Here is a 25204-nt window from a genome sequence, read left to right as displayed (position 1 = left end):
CACCATAATAACCCACAAGGTCGAAGTCGAGTGTAGAATTCTCTGATTTCTTGGTGCTCTGCACGGGAATGCAGTAGTAAAGGGAGAGCTGACCCTCAGCCCCAGGCTAAACTTTTTTCTTTCATCAAAGCTAGCCCTGTCCTTACTTGAGAAGCCTTGCGTACCCCTGTGTGAGGGACTCCCTAGGCTCCATGCAAGCTCCATCTACCATTCTCACCCCTTCAGACAGCAGAGCCTTGGGCACCATTTGGACAAACACAGTTTGCATTTTGAAATGGACCCAGGGAAGAGGCCATGCAGGCTCAGGCACATTTAGCCAGGGGACTGAGTGCCCAGCATGTGCCCTAGAAGAGAGGGTGAGAGCTCTGGGTGGGCCAGGGTACAGTCAGTGGAGGGCCAGAGAGGCACCTTCTCAAGCGCAGGATTCAGGGTGGGGGTCCTCTTGCCAAGATCGATGGCTACGATTCCTCCGTGCAATGACGACTGCATCATGACTTCTCAGCACACTTTTCATTCAGTCTCAGCCACCGTGGGGAGCTCCACTGAAGCACAGGCTTCCCTTTTGCTGCCAGCAAACTCAAGCTACACTTTCTGCCCCAGGACATCTCCACTATTATAGGATTTTGCCTGAGCACAAATACAGCCCAGAAACACTTGCAGGTTAACAGCCTCAGGGGAAGACCTCAAACAGTGTGGGACAGGTGGGCAAATGCTCGAGGCTCATGTTTCAGATGGACAGTCCTGGATAACTTTCCAGAGCCTCTCGGAAGGTCCCGCATAAAAAAAGTGCATGGGGGCAGCCTCAGTAGCATGCCATTATTTTGGCTTTTTTTTCTTGCCTGGTTCACTCTTCCCACATCTCACTCTTGCTTCTTGGAATCACTTCCCAAATAAACCATCCACACCCAAGTCTTTACTCCAGCTCTGCTTTCAGGGGTACAGGCACACCTTGGAGATATTTCAGGTTTGGTTCTAAGTCACCACAATAAGGCGAATATCACAATAGAGCAAGTCACACGAAATTTTTTGCAAGTCACAAGAAATTCTTTGCTTTCTGGTGCACATAAAAGTTGTGTTGCCAGGCATGGTGGCTCAAGCCTGTAATCCCAGCACATTGGGAGGCCGAGGCGGGTGGATCACCCAAGGTCAGAAGTTCGAGACCTGCCTGGCCAACATGGGGAAACCCTGTGGAAATAGAAAAATGGTGGTGAGCGCCTGTATTCCTAGCTACTCAAGAGGCTGAGGCAGGAGAATTGTTTGAACATGGGAGGCAGAGTTTGCAGTGAGACAAGATCACACCACTGCACTCCAACCTGGGCAACAGAGTGAGACTCCATCTCAAAAAAAAAAAAAAAAGTTATGTTTAAACTACTGTAGTCAATTAAGTGTGCAATAGCATTATGTCTAAAATATAGTGTAAATACCTTACTTTGAAAATACTTGATTGCCAAAAAATGCTAACCATCATCTGGGCCTTCATCAAGTCACCATCACTTTGCTGGTGGATGGTTTTGCCTCAGTGTTGATAGCTACTGACTGATCAGGGTGATGGTTGCTGAGGGCTGGAGAGGTTGTGGCAATTTCTTAAAATAACATGACAATGAAGTTTGCCGCATTGACTGACTCTTGCTTTCACAAAAGATTTCACTGTAGCATGCTGTACAGTTTGTTAGCATTTTACCCACAGTAGAATTTATATCAAAACTGGAACTAATCCTCTCAAACCCTGCCACTCCTCTATAAACTAAATTTATGGAATATTCTAAGTCCTTTGTTGTTCTTTCCACATGTTCATGGCATCTTCATCAGGAGTAGATTCCATCCCAAGAAACCACTTTCTTTGCTCATTCATAATAAGCAACTCTTCATCCACTAAGATTGCAGCAATTTGGCCAGGTGCGGTGGCTCATGCCTGTAATCCCAGCAATTTTGTAGGCTGAGGTGAGTGGATCATCTGACGTTGGGAGTTCGAGACCAGCCTGACCAACATGGTGAAACTCCATCTCTACTAAAAATACAAAATTAGCCGGGTGTCATGACACAAGCCTACAATACCAGCTACTCGGGAGGCTGAGGCAGGAGAATCGCTTGAAACCATGAGGCGGAGGCTGCAATGAGCTGAGATTGCACCATTGCACTCCAGCCCGGGCAACAAGAGCAAAATTCCATCTCAAAAAAAAAAAAAAAAAAAAAACATTGCAGCAATTCACTCACATCTTCAGGCTCCACTTGTAATACTAGTTCTCTTGCTATCTTCACCACAACTGTGGTTACTTCCTCTGCTAAAGTCTTGAACCCCTCAAAATCATTTATGACGGTTGGAATCAACTTCTTCCAACCTCCTATTACTGCTGCTATTTTTACTTCCTCTGGCGAATCATGAATGCTCTTAGTGGCATCTACAATAGTGAATCCATTTATAGAGCATGGGTAGAGTAGATTTATCATAATTCTTAAGAGGTGCCCTAGGATTTATTGAATGGCAAATGAGCATTGGCTTGTAATAAGAGAGTCAGTCTGTCCTATAAAACTTTTTTTTTTCTTGAGATAAGGTCTCACTCTGTTGCCCAGGAAGGACTGCAGTGGCATGATCTTGGCCCACTTCAGACTTGACCTCCTTGACTCAAGCAATCCTCCCACCTCAGCCTCCTGAGTAGCTGGACTAATAGCATGTACCACCATACATGTTTTTTTTTTTTTTAATTCATTTATTTTTGGTTAGAGACAGGGTTTCACCATGTTGCCCAGGCTGGTCTCAAACTCCTAAGCTCAATCTATTCTCCCACTTCAGCCTCCCAGAGTGCTGGGATTACAGACATGAGCCACCCTGCCTGGCCTCTAAATTCGTGTTATGGAGACTCATTTTCATGGTTAAAATGTCCTGAATTGACTGTGGCCTGTTGGGAGGTGGGATGGAGGAAACTACTTATGGAAAATGAAGAAGAAAGGGAAGCACACCAGAAGCAAGAAAGTGTCATCGATTTTTACATCAAGGACTCCATGATAAAGAGAAAGAACAGGTAGCCTGTTTTCGTGGCTGACCATTGGACTGCAGACTGCACCTGCATCTACCAGGTTCTTCTGGATAGTCCCAGTTTTAAATTTTTGACCTGATATTCATGAACACAGTGCTACTGGTCAGACCTTTGTCCAGGTTTAAGCATCAGAAAATAAGGTCTTCATGCAGTGGGAGGCCCGGTTAGGGTTATGATTCTGCCCTGGGGCATCTGCCCCTTCTGACCTGGAGGTAAACTTAGCATCTACAATTTACCTCCACACTTGAACAGCCAAGGATGGGCTGAGCACAAAGGCTCACATCTGTAACTCCAACACTTTGGGAGGCCAAGGCAGGAGGATTGCTTAAGGCCAGGAGTTCAAGACCAGCCTGGGCAATATAGTGAGACCTTGTCCTGTAAAAACAAACAAACAAACAAACAAACAAAACCAAGGATGGATGAGTGGCAGGGAGCAGTTCAACATGGGAAACCATTAATCTGAGAGCTGGAAGGACCCTTAGACCAGCCTCCTATTAACAGATGAGACTCTGCCCTGGGATTATAGCCTAAGGTAATACATTGAACTTTTCTAGAGATTTGAAAATAATCAGTCCTAAAACCCCCAAGCATAGTGTTTGCTAATGAAAAATGTTTTCTAGTCCAGGTGTGGTGGTTCATGCCTGTAATCCCAACACTTTGGAAGGCTGAGGCAAGTGGATCACCTGAGGTCAGGAGTTCGAGACCAGCCTGGCCAACATGGTGAAACCCTGTCTCTACTAAAAATACAAAAAATTAGCAGGCCATGGTGGTGCATGCCTGTAATCCCAGGTGCTTGGGAGGCTGAGGCAGGAGAACACTTTGATCCTGGGAGGCAGAGGTTGCAGTGAGCTGAGATTGGACCATTGCACTCCAGCCTGGGCTACAAGACTCAAGTTCTGTCTCAAAAATACTAATGATAATAATAATATTTTCTACAAGCAAGGGGTTACTTTGTACTGGGAACTGGTGTGAAGGGATCCACCATGTGCCAGCTTTTGGATTGATGACAGTTATTTCCAGATCATGCAGGTGGGAATGCTTGTTGATCATCTTCTCTGTTCTTTGTTATATTGATTGATTTTTTTAAAAAGCTAGCATTTTTATAACAATAAAGTTGTAAAATAAGTAACTAAAATAAAGTAAAATAATCTAAAGAGGCCGAGCGCGGTGGCTCACACCTGTAATCCCAGCACTTTGGGAGGCCTAGGTGGGTGGATCACGTGAGGTCAGGAGTTCAAGACCAGCCTGGCCAACATGGTGAAACCCCATCTCTACTGAAAATACAAAAATTAGCCAGATGCAGTGGCAGGCACCTGTAATCCCAGCTACTCAGGAGGTTGAGGCAAGAGAATTTCTTGAACCTGGGAGAAGGTGCTTGCAGTGAGCTGAGATTGCGCCATTGCATTCCAGCCTGGGTGACCAGAGCTAAACTCCATCTCAAAACAAACGAAACAAAAATCTAAATGTAATTTAGTTGAATATTTAAACTTTTAATTGACATTTCAAATTAGATTCTAATTCCATTTAAAAGAGCATATCATAGAAGCAAATGTACTCATTTATGTTAACTCTGTGGTTTCATTTAAGCAATTTGTTTTGTGAAGGGATGCAAATCCAACCAGATTTTAACAGTGCATAAATATGTATTTATTAATTGAATTACAATCACAATACTCTCAACTCCCCATTTGAATAAAGGAGAGCATCTGATCTGTGTTCTGGGACAGCGTGCACTGTAGGTGTGTGGAAATACCGATGCCCTCAGCTGTGTGGCAGGCTCAGTGGGACCTGGAGTGCAGGAGGAGCCCCTGGGCCATTCACCTCCTGCCACAAAAGTCATTGTCCATTTACCCCCAACTGCTATACAAATATTATTTTCAGTGGTTGTTATGATGCAAAAGAAAAGAAGCAGGGAGATTTATTAAACCCTTACATGTAAGTTATGTTAGTAAATAAAGTCTACTTTCTTCTGGCTTAACTAAAAATCTATACTAGTATTTATGCATTTTGGAAAATAAGATGCCAATTTAAATATTATGAAGCAAAGCAATTGATTATTAGGTAAGACAGCCAAGTACTACTGCAGAATTATAGAGGTTATGTGTTACATGTATAAGAATATTTCATAGCAATAATCTTTTAAGACTCTGTGAAGACACTCTACAGTGAAGCAGAAATGAGAACAGAATTAATAACACTGTGTATGCTCTCAGTTCACCAATTTATCAAAACTAGCTTTATGATTCAGGAGGGTGTCTGCTCTTTTGCAATTGGAAGAAAAGAAATAATATTTTATTTTTCAACTCTTTAGATTTTCTTCATTAAGAGTATTTCCAAGGCTAAGTAAGGGAGTTGCAAGTAGCACCAAGAGAAAAAAGCAGTCTTGAGCAGCTTTTAAAAAACGGTCTTAAAATATGGAAAATGGAGCCAGGTGTGGTGGCTCACTCTTGTGATCCCAACACTTCGGGAGCTTGAGGTGGGAGGATTGCTTGAGGCCAAAAGTTTGAGACCAGCCTGGGCAGCATAGCAAGATCCCCATCGTTACAAAAAATAATATATATTTTTTAAATTAGATGGATGAGGTGGTACATGCCTTAGAGTCCCAGTTACTTGGGAGGCTGAAGTAGGAGGAGTTCTTGAGCCCAGGAGTTCAAGTCTGCAGTGAGCTACGATTGCCACAGTCCTCAAGCCTGGGCAAGAAAGTGAGACTCTGTCTCTCTCTATATATATAAATATTTATGATATAGATGATATATCATGATATATATGATATATTTTATATATGATATATATCATATATAAATATATGTATAAATATATGTGATATATATCATATATAAATATATATGATATATATCATATATATTATATATGATATATATCATATATAAATATATGTATAAATATATGTGATATATATCATACATATAAATATCATATATAAATATATATGATATATATATCATATATATTAAATACATATGATATATATATCATATATATGGATATATATACTCTCTCTTTCTCTCTCTCTCTATATATATATGGAAAAGGGAGGGGGCCAAGAATATCAAAGGCCTTATTAAAAAGAGGAAAGATTTGTGCTAGCAAATATCAGAACTTTTATAAAGCTACAGCAATTAAGACAGTGTGGTTTTCACTGATAAACTGACTGATGAAACAGAATAGAGAGTTCCCAAACAAATATTCACAAATTTAATCTTTGATATGTGATGTAGGTGACATGGCAGATCAGCAAGGAAAGAAAGAACTTTTCAATAAATAGAATAGAAAAATAATGGTTATTGATATAGGAAATATATGATATATAATATATATCATACTATAGATATATATGATATATAATATTTATATATATATAATATTTATATATATATAAATATAATATATATAATATTTATATATATAAATATATATAAATATAATATTTATATATCATATATATGGATATATATACTCTCTCTTTCTCTCTCTCTCTATATATATATGGAAAAGGGAGGGGGCCAAGAATATCAAAGGCCTTATTAAAAAGAGGAAAGATTTGTGCTAGCAAATATCAGAACTTTTATAAAGCTACAGCAATTAAGACAGTGTGGTTTTCACTGATAAACTGACTGATGAAACAGAATAGAGAGTTCCCAAACAAATATTCACAAATTTAATCTTTGATATGTGATGTAGGTGACATGGCAGATCAGCAAGGAAAGAAAGAACTTTTCAATAAATAGAATAGAAAAATAATGGTTATTGATATAGGAAACAAAATGAAATTATATTCCTACTTCACTCTATTACAAACATTAAATTCCAAAGACCAAAGACTTACATGTCAGAAACAAAACTTTAAAACTTTTAGTAGAAAATGTATGTGAATGAGACACAAAAAGCCATTTAACCATTAAAAAAGATTAGACATTTTGACTCTCATACAATTAAGAACTTTTTACATCAAAAAGTGGAAAGATAGGCTGGGCAAGGTGTCTCAAGCCTGTAATCCGAACAGTACATCATCTGAGGTCAGGAGTTTGAGACCAGGCTGGCCAACATGGTGAAACCCCGTCTCTACTAAAAATACAAGAAATTAGCTTGGCATTAGTGGCAGACACCTGTAATTCCAGCTACTTGGGAAGCTGAGACACAAGAATCATCTGAACCCGGGAGGTGGAGGTTGCAGTGAGCCACTGCACTCCAGCCTGAATAACAGAGCTAGACTCCGTCTCAAAAAAAAAAAAAAAAAAGAAATTAAAAAATAAAAGTAAAAAAGTGAAAAGATAAACTATAAATTAGAAGATATTTGCAGTACCTAAAACCTATGAAATATTAAAATCATATCAACTAAGTATAAGGAACTCCTATGAATTAATTTTAAAAATAGCAACCCAACAGAAAATTGGGAAAATACATCAATAGGGATTTCACAAAAAAGAAAGCCTGCAAAATGTAAAAAATGTCCCCACCTCATTAGTAATCAGGAAAATGCCCAAGATACTACACATCTATTCTCCCCACAATTATTAAGAAGTTTGACAATACCAAATGTATTAGTTCACATTCACACTGCTGATAAAGACATACCTGAGATGGGGAAGAAAAAGAGGTTTAATTGTATTTCGGGATCCACATGGTTGAGGAGGCCTCAGAGTTATGGCAGTGGATGAACAGCATGTCTTACATGGCAGTGGCAAGAGAATATGAGAAGGAGGCAAAATAAACAAAAGATGAAACCACTGGTAAACCCATCAGATCTTGTGAGATTTATTCACTATCACAAGAACAGCATGGGAAAGACCAGCCCCAAAGATTCAACTACCTCCCCCTGGTTCCCTCCCCGAACACGTGGGAATTCTGAGCAATACAATTCAAGTTGAGATGTGGGTAGGGACACAGTCAAACCATATTTTTCCACTCCTGGCCCTTCCAAATCTCACGTTCTGTCCAAATCTCATGTCCTCACATTTCAAAACCTATTATTCCTTCCCAACAGTCCCCCAAAGTCTCAACTCATTTCAGCATTAACCCAAATGTCCACTGTCCAAAGTCTCATCTGAGACAAAGCAAGTCTCTTCTGCCTATGACCCTGTAAAATCCAAATCAAGCTAGTTACTTCCTAGATACAGTGGGGGTACAGGTAGTTGAGTAAATGCTGCTGTTCCAAATGGGAGAAATTGGCCAAAACAAAGGGGCTACTGGTCCCATGCAAGTCTGAAATCCAGCAAGGTAGTAAAATTTTAAATCTCCAAAATGATCTCCGTTGACTTCATGTTTCACATCAGGATCATGCTGATGCAAGAGGTGGGCTCCCACAGCCTTGGATAGTTCTGCCCCTGTGGCTTTGTAGCATATAGCCCACCTCCTGGCTACTTTCATGGGCTGATGTTGAGTGACTGCAGCTTTTCCAGGCTCACAGTGCAAGCCATCAGTGAATCTACCATTCTGGGGCCTGGAGGAGTGTGACCCTCTCCTCACAGCTCCACTAGGAAGTGCCCCAGTAGGGACTCTGTGTAGGGGCTCCAATCCCACATTTCCCTTCTGCACAGCCCTAGCAGAGGTTTTCCATCAGAGTCCCACCCCTGCAGCAAACTTCTGCTTGGACATCCTGGTATTTTCATACATCCTCTGAAATCTAGGTGGGGGTTTCCAAACCTCAATTCTTGACTTCTATGCATGTGCAGACTCAACACCACGTGGAAGCTGCCAAGGCTTGGCGTTTGCACTCTCAAGCCATGGCCTGAGTTCTATGTTGGTCCCTTTCAGCCATGGCTAGAAGGGCTGAAATGCAGAGAACCAAGGCCCTAGGCTGCACACAGCACAGTCAACCTGTGCCCAGCCCAGAAAACCATTTTTTCCTCCTAGGCCTCTGGGCTTGTGATGGGAGGGTCTGCTGTGATGACCTGTGACATGTCCCGTAGAAATTTTCCCCATTGTTTTGGGGATTAACATTCAGCTTCTCGTTACTTATGCAAATTTCTGCAGACTCCTCTAATTTATCCTCAGAAAATGGGATTTTCTTCTCTATCACATTGTCAGGCTGCAAATTTTCCAAACTTGTATGCTCTGCTTCCTTTATGAAACCAAAGTCCTTTAGAATCACCCAAGTCACCTCTTGAATGTTTTACTGCTTAGAAATTTCTTCCAGCAGATAACCTAAATCATCTCTCTCAAGTTCAAAGTTCCACAAATCTCTAGGGCAGGGGCAAAATGCTGCCATTCTTTTTGCTAAAACATAACGAGAGTCACCTTTGCTCCAGTTCCCAACAAGTTTCTCATCTCCATCTGAGACCACCTCAGCCTGGACCTTATTGTTCAAAACACTATCAGCATTTTTGTCAAATCCATTCAACAAGTCTCTAGGAGGTTCCAAAATTTCCCACCTTTTCCATTCTTTTTCTGAGCCCTTGAAACTGTTCCAACTTCTGCCTGTTAACAAGTTTCAAAGTTGCTTCCACATTTTTCACTATCTTTTCAGCAGCACCCCACACCACTGGTATCAATTTACTGTATTAGTCTGTTTTCACACTGCTGATAAAGACATACCCAAGTCTGAGAAGAAAAAGAGGTGTAAAGAAAAAGAACTGTAATTGGATTTACAGTCCCACATGGTGGGGGAGGTCTCAGAGTCATGGTAGGAGGTGAAAGGGACTTCTTAAATGGCAGCAGCAAGAGAAAATGAGGAGGAAGCCAAAGCAGAAACCCCTGATAAACCCATCAGATCTCTTGAGGCTTATTCCCTATCATGAGAATAGCACAGGAAAGACTGGCCTCCATCATTCAGTTACCTCACCCTGTGTCCCCCCCACAACATGTGGATATTCTGGGAGATAGAACTCAAGCTGAGATTTGAGTGGGGACACAGCCAAACCTTATCACCAAATATGGAGAGACTGTGGATCAACAAGATCATCTCGAACTAATACAGGAGGTGAGGGTTTAAATTAGAATTACCACTTTGGAAAACAATTTGGATTATCTTATAAAGTTGAGCATTCTCATATGTTATGGCAAACTAATTTCTCTACCATAGGCCCTGGAGAAACTCTTGCCCATATGTACCAGAAGTAGTAAAAAAATAAATGCTCATGTAATGCCATTCATAACAGCAAATATATGGAAACAAGCCAGATGTTCATTAATAGGAGAATAGGTAAATTAATAGGAGAATGGGTAAATAAATTATACCTTTAAAAAACTAAATAATATGTCATTTAGGGCAATCATATATAGGCAATAAAGCAATTTTTTTAAAGGCAGGGAATCCTAAACATAAATTCAGGGTAGTAGTTACCCTGGGGCTGAAGGGTGTAAATCAGGAAAAAAGACAGAGGAGGAGCAGATGTTAGGGTCAGAACCCTAGTTCTTGAGTTGTGTTGTGGGTTCACAAGTGATTACCATATTATTCAAATACATTTGCATAGAGGCCCAGGCACAGACAAGGATGAAATAGGAGCCAAGGTATGCTATGAGTCAAGGAATATGATTAATCAAATTTTGTGCACTTTAAGCCATTTGAAAAACAGAAAAGCAAAACAACAAAATAATTTTTTTAAAAATTGAATATAGAGTGCTATGTTCTGAATGTGTTCCCCTAAAATTAATCACAATGTTATAGGATTAGGAAGTAGCGCCCTTAGGTAGTGATTCATTCATGAAGAGAGTTCCTTCAAGAATGGGTTTAGGGTCCTTACACAAGGACTGGAGGGCGTGGGCTTCCCCTGTTTTGCCCTTTCACCTTCTGCCATGTGAGGGCACAGTGCATCTCCTCCTGAAGACACAGTGCACAAGGTACCATCTTGGATGCAAAGGCCAGGTCCTCACCAGACACCAATCCTTCTGGCATCTTGATCTTGGACTTCCAGCCTATGGAACTAGGAGAAATAATTTCTCTTCTTCAGAAATTACCCAGCCTATTGTATTTTCTTATACAGTAGCACAAACTCATTAAGACATAATGCCTCTTGTCATTTTCTTCTACAATTTTCTTTGTTGCCTCTTTAGCACTGGAGCATTTTATATTTGATCCTTCATAATATCTCTTACTTTTGGTTTTTCACATTTCTGTTCCAAATGTATTCTTAGATACATATTTTTCACTGTTTGTTAGTATCCAGGTCAGAAAGTCAAGGATACATTCTTTTAAGGGTTTAGTTTCTGCAACAATGAAGTATTAATGCCTCCTGTAAACTAGGTATTTCCTATCCAATTGTAACTGCCATCTGGAAGCAAAGTGGAATTACAGGCTATGAGTGTGAGCTTGATATTTAGTGTATCTAGAGTATGGTTAAATGCTGGTTTTTAATCACACAGATACACCAATTGCTTGGCATACTAGGGTATCAGTTGCTAGTTATCTCTGTATTTATCCATGCTGTTACAGAGGGAAAGTACAGTGTCACACATAGCAGCTCAGGTGAAAAGCACTTTTATTGTGGGGACTTTCCCTTAGTGCTCTGTGGTGCACAAGAGCAGACCTATGTAGAAGCATTTAAGTATTTTGTGCATCAACAGGACAACTAAAGGAACAAATTCTTATTGTATCTTTTTTAGTCCCTGAAGACAAAACCACAGTGACAGTAACTAGTTCAAGGCATTGTATTCAGAGAGGGTCAGCCTTGGTCTTTGAGAGTGAGTCCCCTTTACCCCACTGCCAAGACTCACTGAGCAGATGGGAAAGTTCAGGTGGAACATGCAGTGAATAGCAAACACGGTGGGGGGCGCTCACTATCATGCACTGCCATGCCTGCCATGGTCAGCAGACCTGTCTTCTACTTGACAACAGGCAGGTTGAGAAACATTTTCTTGGAGAGTTTCTTGATTCTTGCCAGTTGTGGCAGGAAGGACTGATTTAGAGGAGTTCAGGAAGGTTGTTAAACAACACAGAAACACAAGATGAATTGTACTCCTCAGCAGGCCTAGGTTAGAGCAGCAGGTACTTAAAGCCTCAGCCACTCCTGGGACACAACATAATGCCCCTAATGATTTGAAATTTGGTGGAGAGTGGGTCGCTAATCCCTGTGTCCAGGGACAAAAAGAGACATAAACAGCAAAAAGTTATAAAATAAGTGGGCCTAACATCTGCTTATTGTGGGAGGTAGGGATTTAAGATATAAGAATTTAGCTGCAGGAACAATCTCACACCTGTAATCTCAGCACTTGAGGAGGCCAACACAGGAGGACAGTTTGAGCCCAGGAGTTTGACATGAGCCAGGCAACATAGTAAGTCCCCATTCGTACAAAAATGTTTTTGGAGGAAAGTAGTTGAGTGTGGGGGCACATGCCTGTAGTCCCAGGTATGTGGGAGGCTGAGGCAAGAAAATCGCTTCAGCCTGGGAGATTGAGGCTGCAGTGAGCTCTGATCACCACAATGCACTCCAGCCTGTGAGTCCGGAGACCCAACCTGGCGCCTTGAAGTGGGGGTCCCCCTGCACCGGTAGAAGTCGGCTCAAGGAGGTTCTGAGAACAGGACTCCCGGGGGTCCGGCCCTGGAGGACCAGAAGCCCCCACTCCCATAACGCCCTCTACTACATCCCCGCTCCAGCCGCCACTGCTACTGCCACAGAAACCCTGCCACGTGTTGCCGAACCTGTTTAAAGGGGCCACAGCCGGAGTTTGAAGAGGAAAGCAGGAGTCGGCCTGGGCAATGTGCATGCAGGAGGCATGAACCCATTCTCCTGTGACGGTGACTCCAACGGTTGGCTGAGGACGATTCCCTGAGCCTTGACAAAGCAGGGGCCCTCCGTGGCAGTGCGTTGGTGTCGAGGCTCCAGCCTGACCAATCCAGGGGGTCGACAAAACAGATTCGGGACACTATGCTACACGGAGGGGCTACCAGGATGCAGAAACAGCAGACAGTCCGGGGAAAGCAGTGTGGCATCCCAGCCTCAGGCCTGCCAGTACGGTGTTTGGGTGAGTCCCCCAAAGTCGTGCCCCTCGTGATCTCGAGGACAGGTCTGCCTGTGTGCCCAAGGACTACTCTGCCACCCGAGGGTCATTCTCCCAAAGAGCAGAAACCCGCAGTCTCAGTGATTGCCTGGGGTGTGTGTCCCTCTGCCACTGCTGTATGTCTGGTGCGTGTGTCTCCCATTCTCTCTTCTCTCTCTGTCACTCACTCTCTGTCTGTTTCTCTCACTTTCTCTCTCTCTGTGTGTGTGTGTGCGCCCGTGTGCGTGTGTGTTTATGTGCCCAGTGCACTACAAAGCGATCTCATGCATGTCAGAGTGTCTTTCGTGGGCTCCTGTCTGCGTCTCTGCCTGGATCATGTGGGCTGCTGTCAATCATTTCTGCGGCGGTTCCACTTTGGCTTTCTGAAGACCTCAACAATGTGAAAAGCGTCGGTCTCAGAGAAAATGAAATTTCATCCCGATACTGAGCTACCTCTTTTCTAGAATCAAGATGACCACACTCCAACCAAAAAAAAAAAAAAAAAAGCTACAAGGAGCTCATTGTTTTCCAGGAGGGGAGGGACCAATGTGAAAAGAGATGGTTCTTTCTCCTCATGGCTCTTCTCTGAGAAATGAAGCCACACTACGAAACAATCTTCAAGAAGCAGCTGAAAACGGGACACAACAAGGATGCCTGTCAGTGGAAAGCAAGCCTCTCAGGACAAGTCACCCGTTTGGCACTCCTCCGCTTATGCCCTTGGCGGTGGTTTCCAGTTGTTCCACGGTTTCCAAGGCTTCCAGGGCTGCTGGTTTCCAGGACTGGGGCTCGGTGCAGGGGAGGTGGAGTAAGGGCTACCTGGGCGGTGGAGGGTTGGAGGTAGGGTGAATTTTGCAGAAACCTCTTTGCTTCTCGGGCAGGCATTTCAAAATGGGGCTTTGGTCAGGCACAGGTCCCCTCCTGGTTCCCAGGTGTACTTTGATACTCTTTGGCATTGACGAGAAGGTCACTTGTTCCCCCTTCCACCAGGCACAAGCCACCATTTATTTCGCCGTCGCCCCATATGCCTCCAGTGACACACAATCACACCATCTGCTGTGGGATATGCCAGTACCACGTGTGGCCCCATGGTCTCCACCTCGGATTCACCCCTGTTCCTGTACACACGTGTCCTGTAAAGCGCTGTCGGCTTTCGGGAGGCCCAGAGCTTTTAGAAGCTGGGCAGTCCACTGCTCTTTCAAAGGAGGAGGGAGGCAGACGGCTGATGGATCAGTGAATTTTCAGCTGACAACACGCCCTGAGACACATGGGATCGATCTGTGCTGCAGGGAGGCCCTGCCTGCCTCACCAGATGTGGTGAGCCCATCCTATCTCACTCGGAGGGGGCCAAAATTGGATCTGAAGGGGAGTCCCCAGACCCCAGTAGGCGCCCTGAAGCTCCCCCTCCTTTGGTGGAAGTCGGCTCAAGGAGGTCATGAGGACAGGACTCCTGGGGGTTTGACCCTGGGACAGGACACCCACGGTCCCCTCTCCCACGCCGCCCCAAACTGGACCCCGGATCCAGCAGCCACCGCGGCTGCAGCAGGAGCCTCGCTGCCCCCGTGTAACCGCCGCCTAATTTAAAGCGGACACAGCCTGACTGCCAGGAGTGGAGCGCGAGTCGGCCCAGCCAACGCGCATGCGCAAGACACGAGCAGCTTCTCACGTCACAGTGCTACCCACCATTGTCTTAGAAACTAGTCCCCAAGGCTTGGCAAAGCAGGAGCCCTCCGTGGCAGTGATTGGGTGTCGGGCTCTGAGGCTCCGGCCTGACCTCTCCATAGGGTCAACGGGAACGTCTCCGGATGCCAGGAGTGGCAAAGGGCCGACCAGGATGAGGAAACCCCAGGCGGAGTCCGGGGGAAGCAGCACAGCATCCCAGCCTCAGGCCTGCCTGGACGGTGTTGGTTGGGGTGAGTCTCCCCAAAAGTCGTGCCTCTGTGATCTGCAGGCCAGGTCCACCTGCGTGCCCCTGGGCTGCTCTCTCACCCGGGGGTCGTTCTCGTGGAGAGCAGAACCCCGCAGCCTCAGGGGTTGCCTGGGGGTGTGTTTCAATGCCTCTGCTGTATGACTCTGGGTGTGTGTCTGTCTGTGTGTGTGTGTGTGTGTGTGTGTGTGTGTGTGTCTGGGTGTGTGTCTCCCATTCTCTCTTCTCTCTCTGTCTCTCAGTCTCTGTGTGTTTCTTTCCCTCTCTCTGTCGGTTTGTGCGTGTGTGTCTTTGGCTGAATGTGCCCTGTGCACCACAATGCGGTTTCTCACATGGCGGCCTGTCTTAGGTGAGCCTCTTTCTGCGTCTCTGCCTGGGTCAGGAGGCCAGTTGTCAATCGTTTCTGCCGCCGCGAATCTGCTTTGGGTGTGTGAAGGCCTGGCCCACGTGAGGAGATGCGTCGGTCCCAGAGCAATTGAAATCTCATCCCCATCCTGAGCGGCCTCTTTTCTAGGGTCAGAATGAACACACTGCAGCTGAGGACAAGAGCCCCACAGGAGCTCTTTGTCCCGCAGGAGAGCAGAGGACCCACGTCAGAGAAGATGCTCGTATCTTTTCACGGCTCTTCTCTGAGAAATGAAGCCACACCACGATACAGTCTGCAAGAGGAAGCCAGGAATGGGAGATGGCAACAATCCCTGTCACTGGAACGCTGGCCTCTCTGGACAAGCCACCCTTTTGGAACCCCTCCCCTTATGCCCGTGGCAGTGGCATGGTGGTCTATCCTGCCTGGTCCCCTGCCTCTGCTCTGTCCTCCTTCTTGCTGTGCCTCCCCTGTTTCTCAGGGGCCTGGATGCCTCTCGCTCTGGCCAAATGTCTTCAACAAAGATGGCTTCCCAGTGAGTCAGGGAGACACTTCCTGGAGATCCGTGTCATGATTGTTTCTCTCTCCAAACGTGTTTCTGTTTCATTGGGCAAGTCTCATGACCCTGGAGCTCTTGGCTTCCCTACATATCTCAGGCAGGGAAGCTTCCTACTTCACGTTTCCCCTCATGGGTAAGCGGATTGCCTAGAATGAGTTGTAGGCAATGATGACTGGCCTTGTCTTCCAGGACAGGTGGTGTCGCAGTTCCTCTGCACTTCCTGTCTCATTCTTGAGGGACATCCTCTCCTCTGTTCCTGGGTGGACTGACTTCCTTGATCTTCTGGCCGAAACGAATGTCAGGGAACCAAAGGGACTGGGCTGGGGCTGGGGCTGGGGCTGGAGCTGGCGCTGGGTGCAGCTGAAGTTACATCAGGGCTACCAGGGCAGTGGAGGGTTGGGAGTGGGGTGAATTTTGCAGAAAGCTCTTTGCCCGTCTGGTAGGCATTTGAAAAGGTGGCTTGGGTTGGGCACACCCCCCCCCCAACCCCCCGGGTCCCCGGTGTTCTTCCATTTTCCTTGGCATTGACGGAAAGGTCACTCCTTCCCCCCTTCCACCGGCACATGCCTGGACACCACCATCTGTTTCGCCGTCGCCCTGTATGCCTCCGGTGACACACATTCACACCATCTGCTGTGGGACATGCCAGTACCACGCATGGTCACGTGATCTCCACTTCGGATTCGCCCCTATTCCTGTTTGCACGTGTCCTGTGAAGTGCGGTCGGCTTTCCGGAGCCCCAGGGCTTTTAGAAGCGGGGCAGGCCACTGCTCTTTCAAAGGATGAGGGAAGCAGAGGGCTGATGGATCAGTGCACTTGCAGCTGACACTGGGCCTTGATTCCTATGGGATCGTTCTGTGCTGCAGGGAGGCCCTGCCTGTCTCACCACATGTGGTGAGCCCATCCTATCTCACTCGGAGGAGGCCAAAATCATATCTGACGGGGAGTCCTGAGAACACAGCAGGCATCCTGAAGCTCCCCCTCCCTCGGTGGAAGTCGGCTCAAGGAGGTCCTGAGGAGAGGACTCCTGGGTGTTTCGCCCTTTGACAGGACACCAGCGGCCCCTTTCCCACGCCGACCCAAACTGGACCCGGGATCCAGCTGCCGCCTCGGCTGCAGCAGGAGCCTCGCTGCCGCTGCGTGGCGGCGGCATTATTTAAAGGTGACTCAGCCTGACAGCCAGTAGCGGAGCGCCAGTCGGCCCAACCAATGCGCATGCGGGAGACGCGAGCGGCTTCTCGCGTCACAGTGGTTCCCAGGGTTGTCTTAGAAACCAGTCCCCGAGGCTTGGCAAAGCAGGAGCCCTCCACGGCAGTGCTTGGGTGTCGGGGCTCTGAGGCTCCGGCCTGACCTTTCCACGGGGTCTACGGGAACCTCTCCAGATGCCAGGAGTCGCAAAGGGCCGACCAGGATGAGGAAACCCCAGGCGGAGTCCGGGGGAAGCAGCACGGCATCCCAGCCCCAGGCCTGCACGGATGGTGTTGGTTGCGGTGAGTCTCCCCAAAAGTCGTGCTGCCGTGATCTGGAGGACAGGTCCGCCTGCGTGCCCCTGGGCTGCTCTCTCACCCGACGGTCGTTCTCATCGAGAGCAGAACCCTGCAGCTTCAGGGGTTGCCGGGGGGGGGGGGGTGTGTTTCAATGCCTCTGCTGTATGACTCCGGGTGTGTGTCTGTGTGTGTGTCTGTGTGTGTCTGGGTGTGTGTCTCCCATTCCCTCTTCTCTCTCTGTCTCTCAGTCTCTGTGTGTTTCTTTCCCTCTCTCTGCCAGTTTGTGTGTGTGTGCCCGTGTGCCAGTGTGTCTTTGGCCGAATGTGTCCTGTGCGTCACAAAGCGGATTCTCGCATGGCGGCCTGTCTTTGGTGAGCCTCTTTCTGTGTCTCTGCCTGGATCATGAGGCCGGTTATCAGTCGTTTTCGCTGCCGCGGATCCGCTTTGGGTGTGTGAAGGCCTGGCCTACGTGAGGAGATGCGTCGGTCCCAGAGCAATTGAAATCTCATCCCCATCCTGAGTGGCCTCTTTTCTAGGGTCAAGATGAACACACTGCAGCCGAGGACAAGAGGCCCAAGGAGCTCTTTGTCCGGGAGGAGAGCAGAGGACCCACGTCAGAGAGGATGCTTTTATCTTTTCACGACTCTTCTCTGAGTAATGAAGCCACACCACGATACAGTCTGCAAGAGGAAGCCAGGAATGGGAGATGACAACAACCCCTGTCACTGGAACGCTGGCCTCTCCGGACAAGCCACCCTTTTGGAACCCCTCCCCTTATGCCAGTGGCAGTGGGACGGTGCTGTATGCTGCCTGCGCCCCGGCTTCTGCTCTGTCCTCACTCTTGCTGTGCCTCCCCTGTTTCTCAGGGGCCTGGATGCCCCTCGTTCTGGCCAAATGTCATCAACAAAGATGACTACCCAGTGAGTCAGGGAGTCACTTCCTGGAGATCCGTGTCATGATTTTTTCTCTCTCCAAACGTGTTTCTGCTTGACTGGGGAGGTCTCATGACCCTGGAGCTCTTGGTTTCCCTACGTAACTAAGGCAGGGAAGCTTCCTTCTTCTCCACGTTTCCCCTCATGGGTGGGTGGATTGCCTAGAATGAGCCCTAGGCGACGGTGACTGGCCCTGTCTTCTAGAACAGGTGGTGTCACAGTTCCTCTGCACTTCCTGTCTCATTCTTGAGGGACATCCTCTCCTCTGCTCCTGGGTGGACTGACTCCCTTGATCTTCTGGTGGAAACGAATGTTATGGAACCAAAGGGACTGGGCTGCAGATTCTACAAAATCCAGTTGCAGATTCTACAAAAAGACTGTTTCAAAACAGCTCTGTCAAAAGGAAGTTCAACTCTGTGAGTTGAATGCACATATCAAAAAGAAGTTTCTGAGAATGCTTCTTTATGGTTTTTATGTGAAGATATTTCCTTTTCCACCATAGGCCTCAAAGCGCATTAAATGAACACTTGCAGCTTCTACAAAAAGAGTGTTTCAAAAATGCTCTATCAAAAGAAAGGTTACACTCTGTGAGTTGAATGCACACATCAAAAAGAAGTTCATGTGGATGCTTCTGTCTAGTTTTTATGTGAAGATATTTCTTTTTCCAACATAGGCCTCAAATCGCTCCACATATCCACTGGCAGATTCTACAAAAAGACTGTTTCAAAACTCATCTCTGAAAAGGACGTTTCAAATCTGTGAGTTGAATGCACAAATCACAAAACGTTTCTGAGAATGCTTCTGTCTAGTTTTTATGTGAAGATATTTCCTTTTCCACCATAGGCGTCAAAGCGTCCAAATGAACACTTGCATATTCTACAAAAAGATTGTTTCAAAACTGCTCTCTAAAAAGAAAGGTTCAAATCTGTGTGGTGAATGCACACATCACAAAGAAGTTTCTGAGAATGCTACTGTCTAGTTTTTAATGTGAAGATATTTTCTTTTCCACCATAGGCCTCAAAGCGCTCCAATGAACCCTTGCAGATTCTACAAAAAGATTGTTTCAAAACTGCTCTATCAAAAGAAAGGTTCAAATCTGTGAGTTGAATGCACACATCACAAAGAATTTTCTGAGAATGCTACTGTCTAGTTTTTATGTGAAGATATTCCCGTTTCCAACAAAGGCCTCAAATATCTCCAAATATCCACAAGCAGATTCTACAAAAGGAGAGTTTCAAAACTGCTCTATCAAAAGAAATGTTCAACTCTGTGAGTTGAATGCACACATCACAAAAAAGTTTTTGAGTAAGTTTCTGCCTAGTTTTCATGTGAAGATATTCCCTTTTCCACCACAGGCCTCACATCGCTGCAAATATTCACTGGCAGAATCTCCAAATCATTGTTTCAAAACTGCTCTGCCAAAAGGGAGGTACAACTCTGTGATTTGAATGCACACATGGCAAAGGAGTTTCTGAGAAAGCGTCTGTCTAGTTTTTATGAGAAGATATTCCCTTTTCCAACATAGGCCTTAAATCGCTCCAAATGAACACTTGCAGATTCTACAAAAAAACTTTCAAATCTGCTCTATCAAAAGAACATTTCAACTCTGTGAGTTGAATGCGCACATCACAAAGCAGTTTCTGAGAATGCTTCTGTCTAGTTTTTATCAGAATATATTCTTGTTACCAATGAAGGCCGCAAAGGGCTCCAAATGAACACTTTCAGATTCTACAAAAAGTGTGTTTCAAAACTGCTCTATCAGAAGAAAGCTGCAAATCTGTTCGTTGAATGCACATATCACAAAGAAGTTCCTGAGAATGCGTCTGTCTGGTTTTTATGTGAAGATATTGTTTCCTTTTCCAACATAGGCCTCAAATCGCTCCAAATATGCCTTGGCAGATTCTACAAAAACACTGTTCCAAAACTACTCTCACAAAAGGAAGTTTCAAATCTGTGAGTTGAAGTCACACATCACAAAGAAGTTTCTGAGAATTCTTTTGTCTAGTATTTATGTGAAGATATTTCCCTTTCCACCACAGGCCTCAAAGCGCTCCAAATGAACACTTGCAGATTCTGTAAAAAGATTGTCTCAAAACTGCTCTATCAAAAGAAACGTTCAACTCTGTGAGTTGAATGCACACATCACAAAGAACATTCTGAAAATGCTTCTGTCTAGTTTTTATGTGAAGATATTTCCTTTTCCACCATTCCGTTCAAAGTGCTCCAAATGAATACTTGCAGATTCTACAAAAGTGTTTCAAAACTGCTCTATGAAAAGCAAGGTTTAACTCTGTTCGTTGAATGCACACATCACAAAGAAGTTCCTGAGGATGCTTCTGTCTAGTTTTTATGTGAAGATATGTCCGATTCCTCAAATCGCTCCAAATATTCACTGGCAGATTTTACAAAAAGACTGTTTCAAAACTGCTCTCTCAAAAGGAAGGTTCAACTGTGTGAGTTGAATGCACACATCACAAAGAACTTTCTGGGAATTCTTCTGTCTAGTGTTATGTGAAGATATTTCCTTTTCCACTATAGGAATCAAAGCGTTCCAAATGTACACTTGCAGATTATAGAGAAAGAATATTTCAAAACTGCTCTGTGCAAAGAAAGGTTCAACTCTGTGAGTTGAATGCACACATCACAAATAACTTTCTGATAATGCTTCTGTCTAGTTTTTTCCTGAAAATAGCCCATTTCCAACGAATTCCTCAAAGAGTTCCAAATATCCAAAAGCTGATTCTACAAAAGCAGTGTTTCAAAACTGCTCTTACAAAAGAAAGGTTCAACTCTGTGAATTGAACACACACATCACAAAGGAGTTTCTGAGAATGCTTCTGTCTATTTTTCATGTGAAGATATTTCCTTTTCCACCACAGGCCACAAAGCTCTCCAGATGAACACTTGCAGATGCTACAAAAACATTGTTTCAAAACTGCTCCATCAAAAGGAAGTTCAACTCTGTGAGTTGAATGCGCACATCACAAAGAACTTTCTGAGAATGTTTCTGTCTAGTTTTTATGTGAAGATACTCCCGGTTCAAAAGAAGGCCTCCAATATCTACAAATATCCGAAGGCAGATTCTACAAAAGGAGAGTTTCAAAACTGTGCTATCAAACGAAAGGTTCAACTCTGTTATTTGAATGCACACATCACAAAGAAGAATCTGAGAATGCTACTGTCTAGTTTTCACGTGAAGATATTCCCTTTGCCAACATAGGCGTCAAATCGCTCCAAATATCCACTTGCAGATTCTACAAAAAAAACTCTTTCAAAACTGCTCTGTCAAAAGAAAGGTTCCATTCTGTGAGTTGAATGCAAACATCACAAAGAAGTTTCTGAGAATGCTTCTGTCCAGTTTTTATGAGAAGATATTCCATTTCCAATGAAGGCCTCAAAGCGATCCAAATGAACACTTGCACATTCTACAAAAAGATTCTTTCAAATCTGCTCTATTGAACTCTGTTAGTTGAATGCACACATTACAAAGAAGTTTGTGAGAATGCTTCTGTCTAGTTTTATGTGAAGATATCCCATTTCCAACGAATTCCTCAGAGAGTTCCTAATATCCACAAGCGGATTCTACAAAAGAGGGTTTCAAAACTGCTCTATCAAAAGGAAGGTTCAACTCTGTGAGTTGAATGCACACATCACAAAGAAGATTCTGAGAATGCTTCTGTCTAGTTTTCATGTGAAGTTATTCCCTTTTCCACAATAGGCCTCAAATCGCTCCAAATATCCACCTGCCGATTTTATGAAAAGACTGTTTGAAAAGTGCTCACTCAAAAGGAAGTTTCAACTCTGCTGGTTGAATGCACCCATCACAAACAAATTTCTAAGAATGCTTCTGTCTAATTTTCCTCTCTAGATATTCCCTTTTCCACCATAGGCCTCAAAACCCTCCAAAGATCCACTTGCAGATTCTACAAAAACACTGTTTCAAAACTGATCTGTCAAAAGGAAGGTTCAACTCTGTGAGTGGAATGCCACATGGCAAAGAAGTTTCTGAGAATGCTTCTGTCTTGTATTTATGTGAAGATATTTCCTTTTCCACCATAGGCTTCCAAGCACTCCAAATGAACACTTGCAGATTCTACAAAAAGAGTGTTTCAAAATTGCAATATCAAAAGAAAGGTTCAAATCTGTTAGTTGAATACACACATCACAAAGGAGTTCCTGAGAATGCTTCGGTCTAGTTTTTACGTGAAGATATTCCCATTTCCATCATAGGCCTCAAATCGCTCCAAATATCCACTTTCAGATACTACAAAAAGACTGTTTCAAAACTGCTCTCTGCAAAGGAAGTTTCAAATCTGTGGGTTGAATGCACACATCACAAAGAAGTTTCTGAGAATGATTCTGTCCAGTATTTATGTGCAGATATTTCCTTTTCCACCACAGGCCTCAAAGTGCTCAAAATGAACACTTTCAGATTCTAAAAAAGGACTGTTTCAAAATAGCTCTATCAAAAGAAATCTTGCACTCTGTGAGTTGAATGCACACATCACTAAGAATTTTCTGAGAATGCTTCTGCCTAGCTTTTATGTGAAGGCATCCCGTTTCCAATGAATTCCTCAAAGAGCTCCAAATATCCACAAGGAGATTCTACAATAGGATTGTTTCAAAACTCTTCCATCAACAGAAAGGTTCAACTCTGTGAGTTGAATGCACACATCAAAAAAGTTTCTGAGAATGCTTCTGTCTAGTTTTCATGTGAAGACATTCCCTTTTCCGCCATAGGCCTCAAATTGCTCCAAATATTCACTGGAAGACTCTACAAATACTGTGTTTCAGAACTGCTCTTCAAAAGGAAGGTTCAATTCTGTGAGTTGAATGCACACATCACAAAGAAATTTCTGAGAATGCTTCTGTCTAGTATATATGTGAAGATATTTCCTTTTCCACCACAGGCCTCAAAGCGCTCCAAATAAACACTTGCAGATTCTACAATAAGTGTGTTTCAAAACTGTGCTATCAAAACAAAGGTTCAACTCTCTGAGTTGAATGCACACATCACAAAGAAGTTCCTGAGAATGCTTCAGTCTAGTTTTTATGTGAAGATATTTGCTTTTCCACCATAGTCCTCAAATCACTCCAAATATCCACTTGCAGATTCTACAAAAAGACTGTTTCAAAACTGCCCACACAAAAGGAAGGTTCAATTGTGTGAGTTGAATGCAAACATCACAAAGAACTTTCTGAGAATGCTTCTGTCTAGTTTTTATGTGAAGATATTTCCTTTTCTACCATAGGCCTCAAAGTTCTCCAAATGAACACTTGCAGATTTTAGGGAAAGAGTGTTTCAAAACTGCTCTATCAAAAGAAAGGCTCAACTCTCTGAGTTGAATGCACACATCACAAAGAAGTTTCTGAGAATGCTTCTGTCTAGTTTGTATGTGAAGATATGCCGTTTACAACAAATTCCTCAAATAGCTCCAAATATCAACAAGCAGATTCTACAAAAGCAGTGTTTCAAAACTGCTCTATCAAAAGAAAGGTTCAACTCTGTGAGTTGAATGCACACATCACAAAGAACTTTCTGAGAATGCTTCTGTCTAGTTTTCATGTGAAAATACCCGTTTCCAACGAATTCCCAGAGTTCCAAATATCCACAAGCAGATACTACAAAAAGAGTGTTTCAATACTGCTCTATCAAAAGACAGATTAAAATCTGTTAGTTGAATGCACACATCTCAAAGAAGTTCCTGAGAATGCTTCTGTCTAGTTTTTATGTGAAGATATTTCCTTTTCCACCAAAGGCTTCAAAGCACTCCAAATGAACACTTGTAGATTCTACAAAAAGTGTATTTAAAAACTGCTCTATCAAAAGAAAGGTTCAACTCCGTGAGTTGTACGTACACATCACAAAATGTTTCTGAGAATTCTAATGTCTAGTTTTTATGTGAAGATATTTCCTTTTCAATCATAGGCCTCAAATCGCTCCAAACATCCACTTGCAGATACTACAAAAAGGTTTTTTCAAAACTGCTCTCTCAGATGGAAGGTTCAACTCTGTGAGTTCAATGCACACATCACAGATAACTTTCTGAGAATGCTTCTGTCTAGTTTTTATGTGAAGATATCCCGTTGACAACGAATTCCTCAAAGACCTGCACATATCCACAAGCAGGTACTACAAGAAGTGTGTTTCAAAACTGCTCTATCAAAAGAAAGGTTCAACTCTGTGAGTTGAATGCACACATCATGTGGCTTTTCTGTGAAGACAGCCCGTTTCCAAAGAATTCCTCAAGGAGTTCTAAATATCCACAAGCAGATTCTACGAAAGGAGTGTTTCAGAACTGCTCTATCATAAGAAAGGTAGAACTCTGTGAATTGAATGCACACACCACAAAAAGGTTCTGAGAATGCTTCTGTCTAGTTTTTAAGTGAAGATATTTCCTTTTCCACCATAGGCCTCAAAACACTCCAAATGAACACTTGCAGATTTTACAAAAAGTGTGTTTCTAAACTGCTCTATCAAAAGAAACGTTCAGCTCTTGAGTTCAATGCACATATCCCAAAAAAGTTTCTGGGAATTCTTCTGTCCAGTTTTTATGTGAAGATACTATCTTTTCTACCATAGGCTTCAAAGCGCTCCAAATGAAAACTTGCAGAGTCTACAAAAAGTGTCTTTCAAAACTGCTCTATCAAAAGAAAGGTTCAACTCTGTGAGTTCAATGCACACATCACAAACTACTTTCGGAGAATGCTTCTGTCCAGTTTTTATGTGAAGATATTTGCTTTTCCATCAGAGGCCTCAACTCGCTCCAAACACCCACTTGCAGATACTACAAAAAGACTGTTTCAAAACTCCTCTCTTAAAAGGAAGGTTCAACTCTGTAAGTTCAAAGCACACATCACAAAGCAGTTTCTGAGAAGGCTTCTGTCTGGTTTCTATGTGAAGATATCCAGTTTACAACTAATTCCTCAAAGAGCTCCAAATATCCACAAGCAGATTCTTCAAAAA

Source organism: Homo sapiens, chromosome 12 (genome assembly GCF_000001405.40).
Source record: "Homo sapiens chromosome 12, GRCh38.p14 Primary Assembly".
Classification (NCBI taxonomy): domain Eukaryota; kingdom Metazoa; phylum Chordata; class Mammalia; order Primates; family Hominidae; genus Homo; species Homo sapiens.
This window is presented reverse-complemented; position numbering follows the sequence as displayed.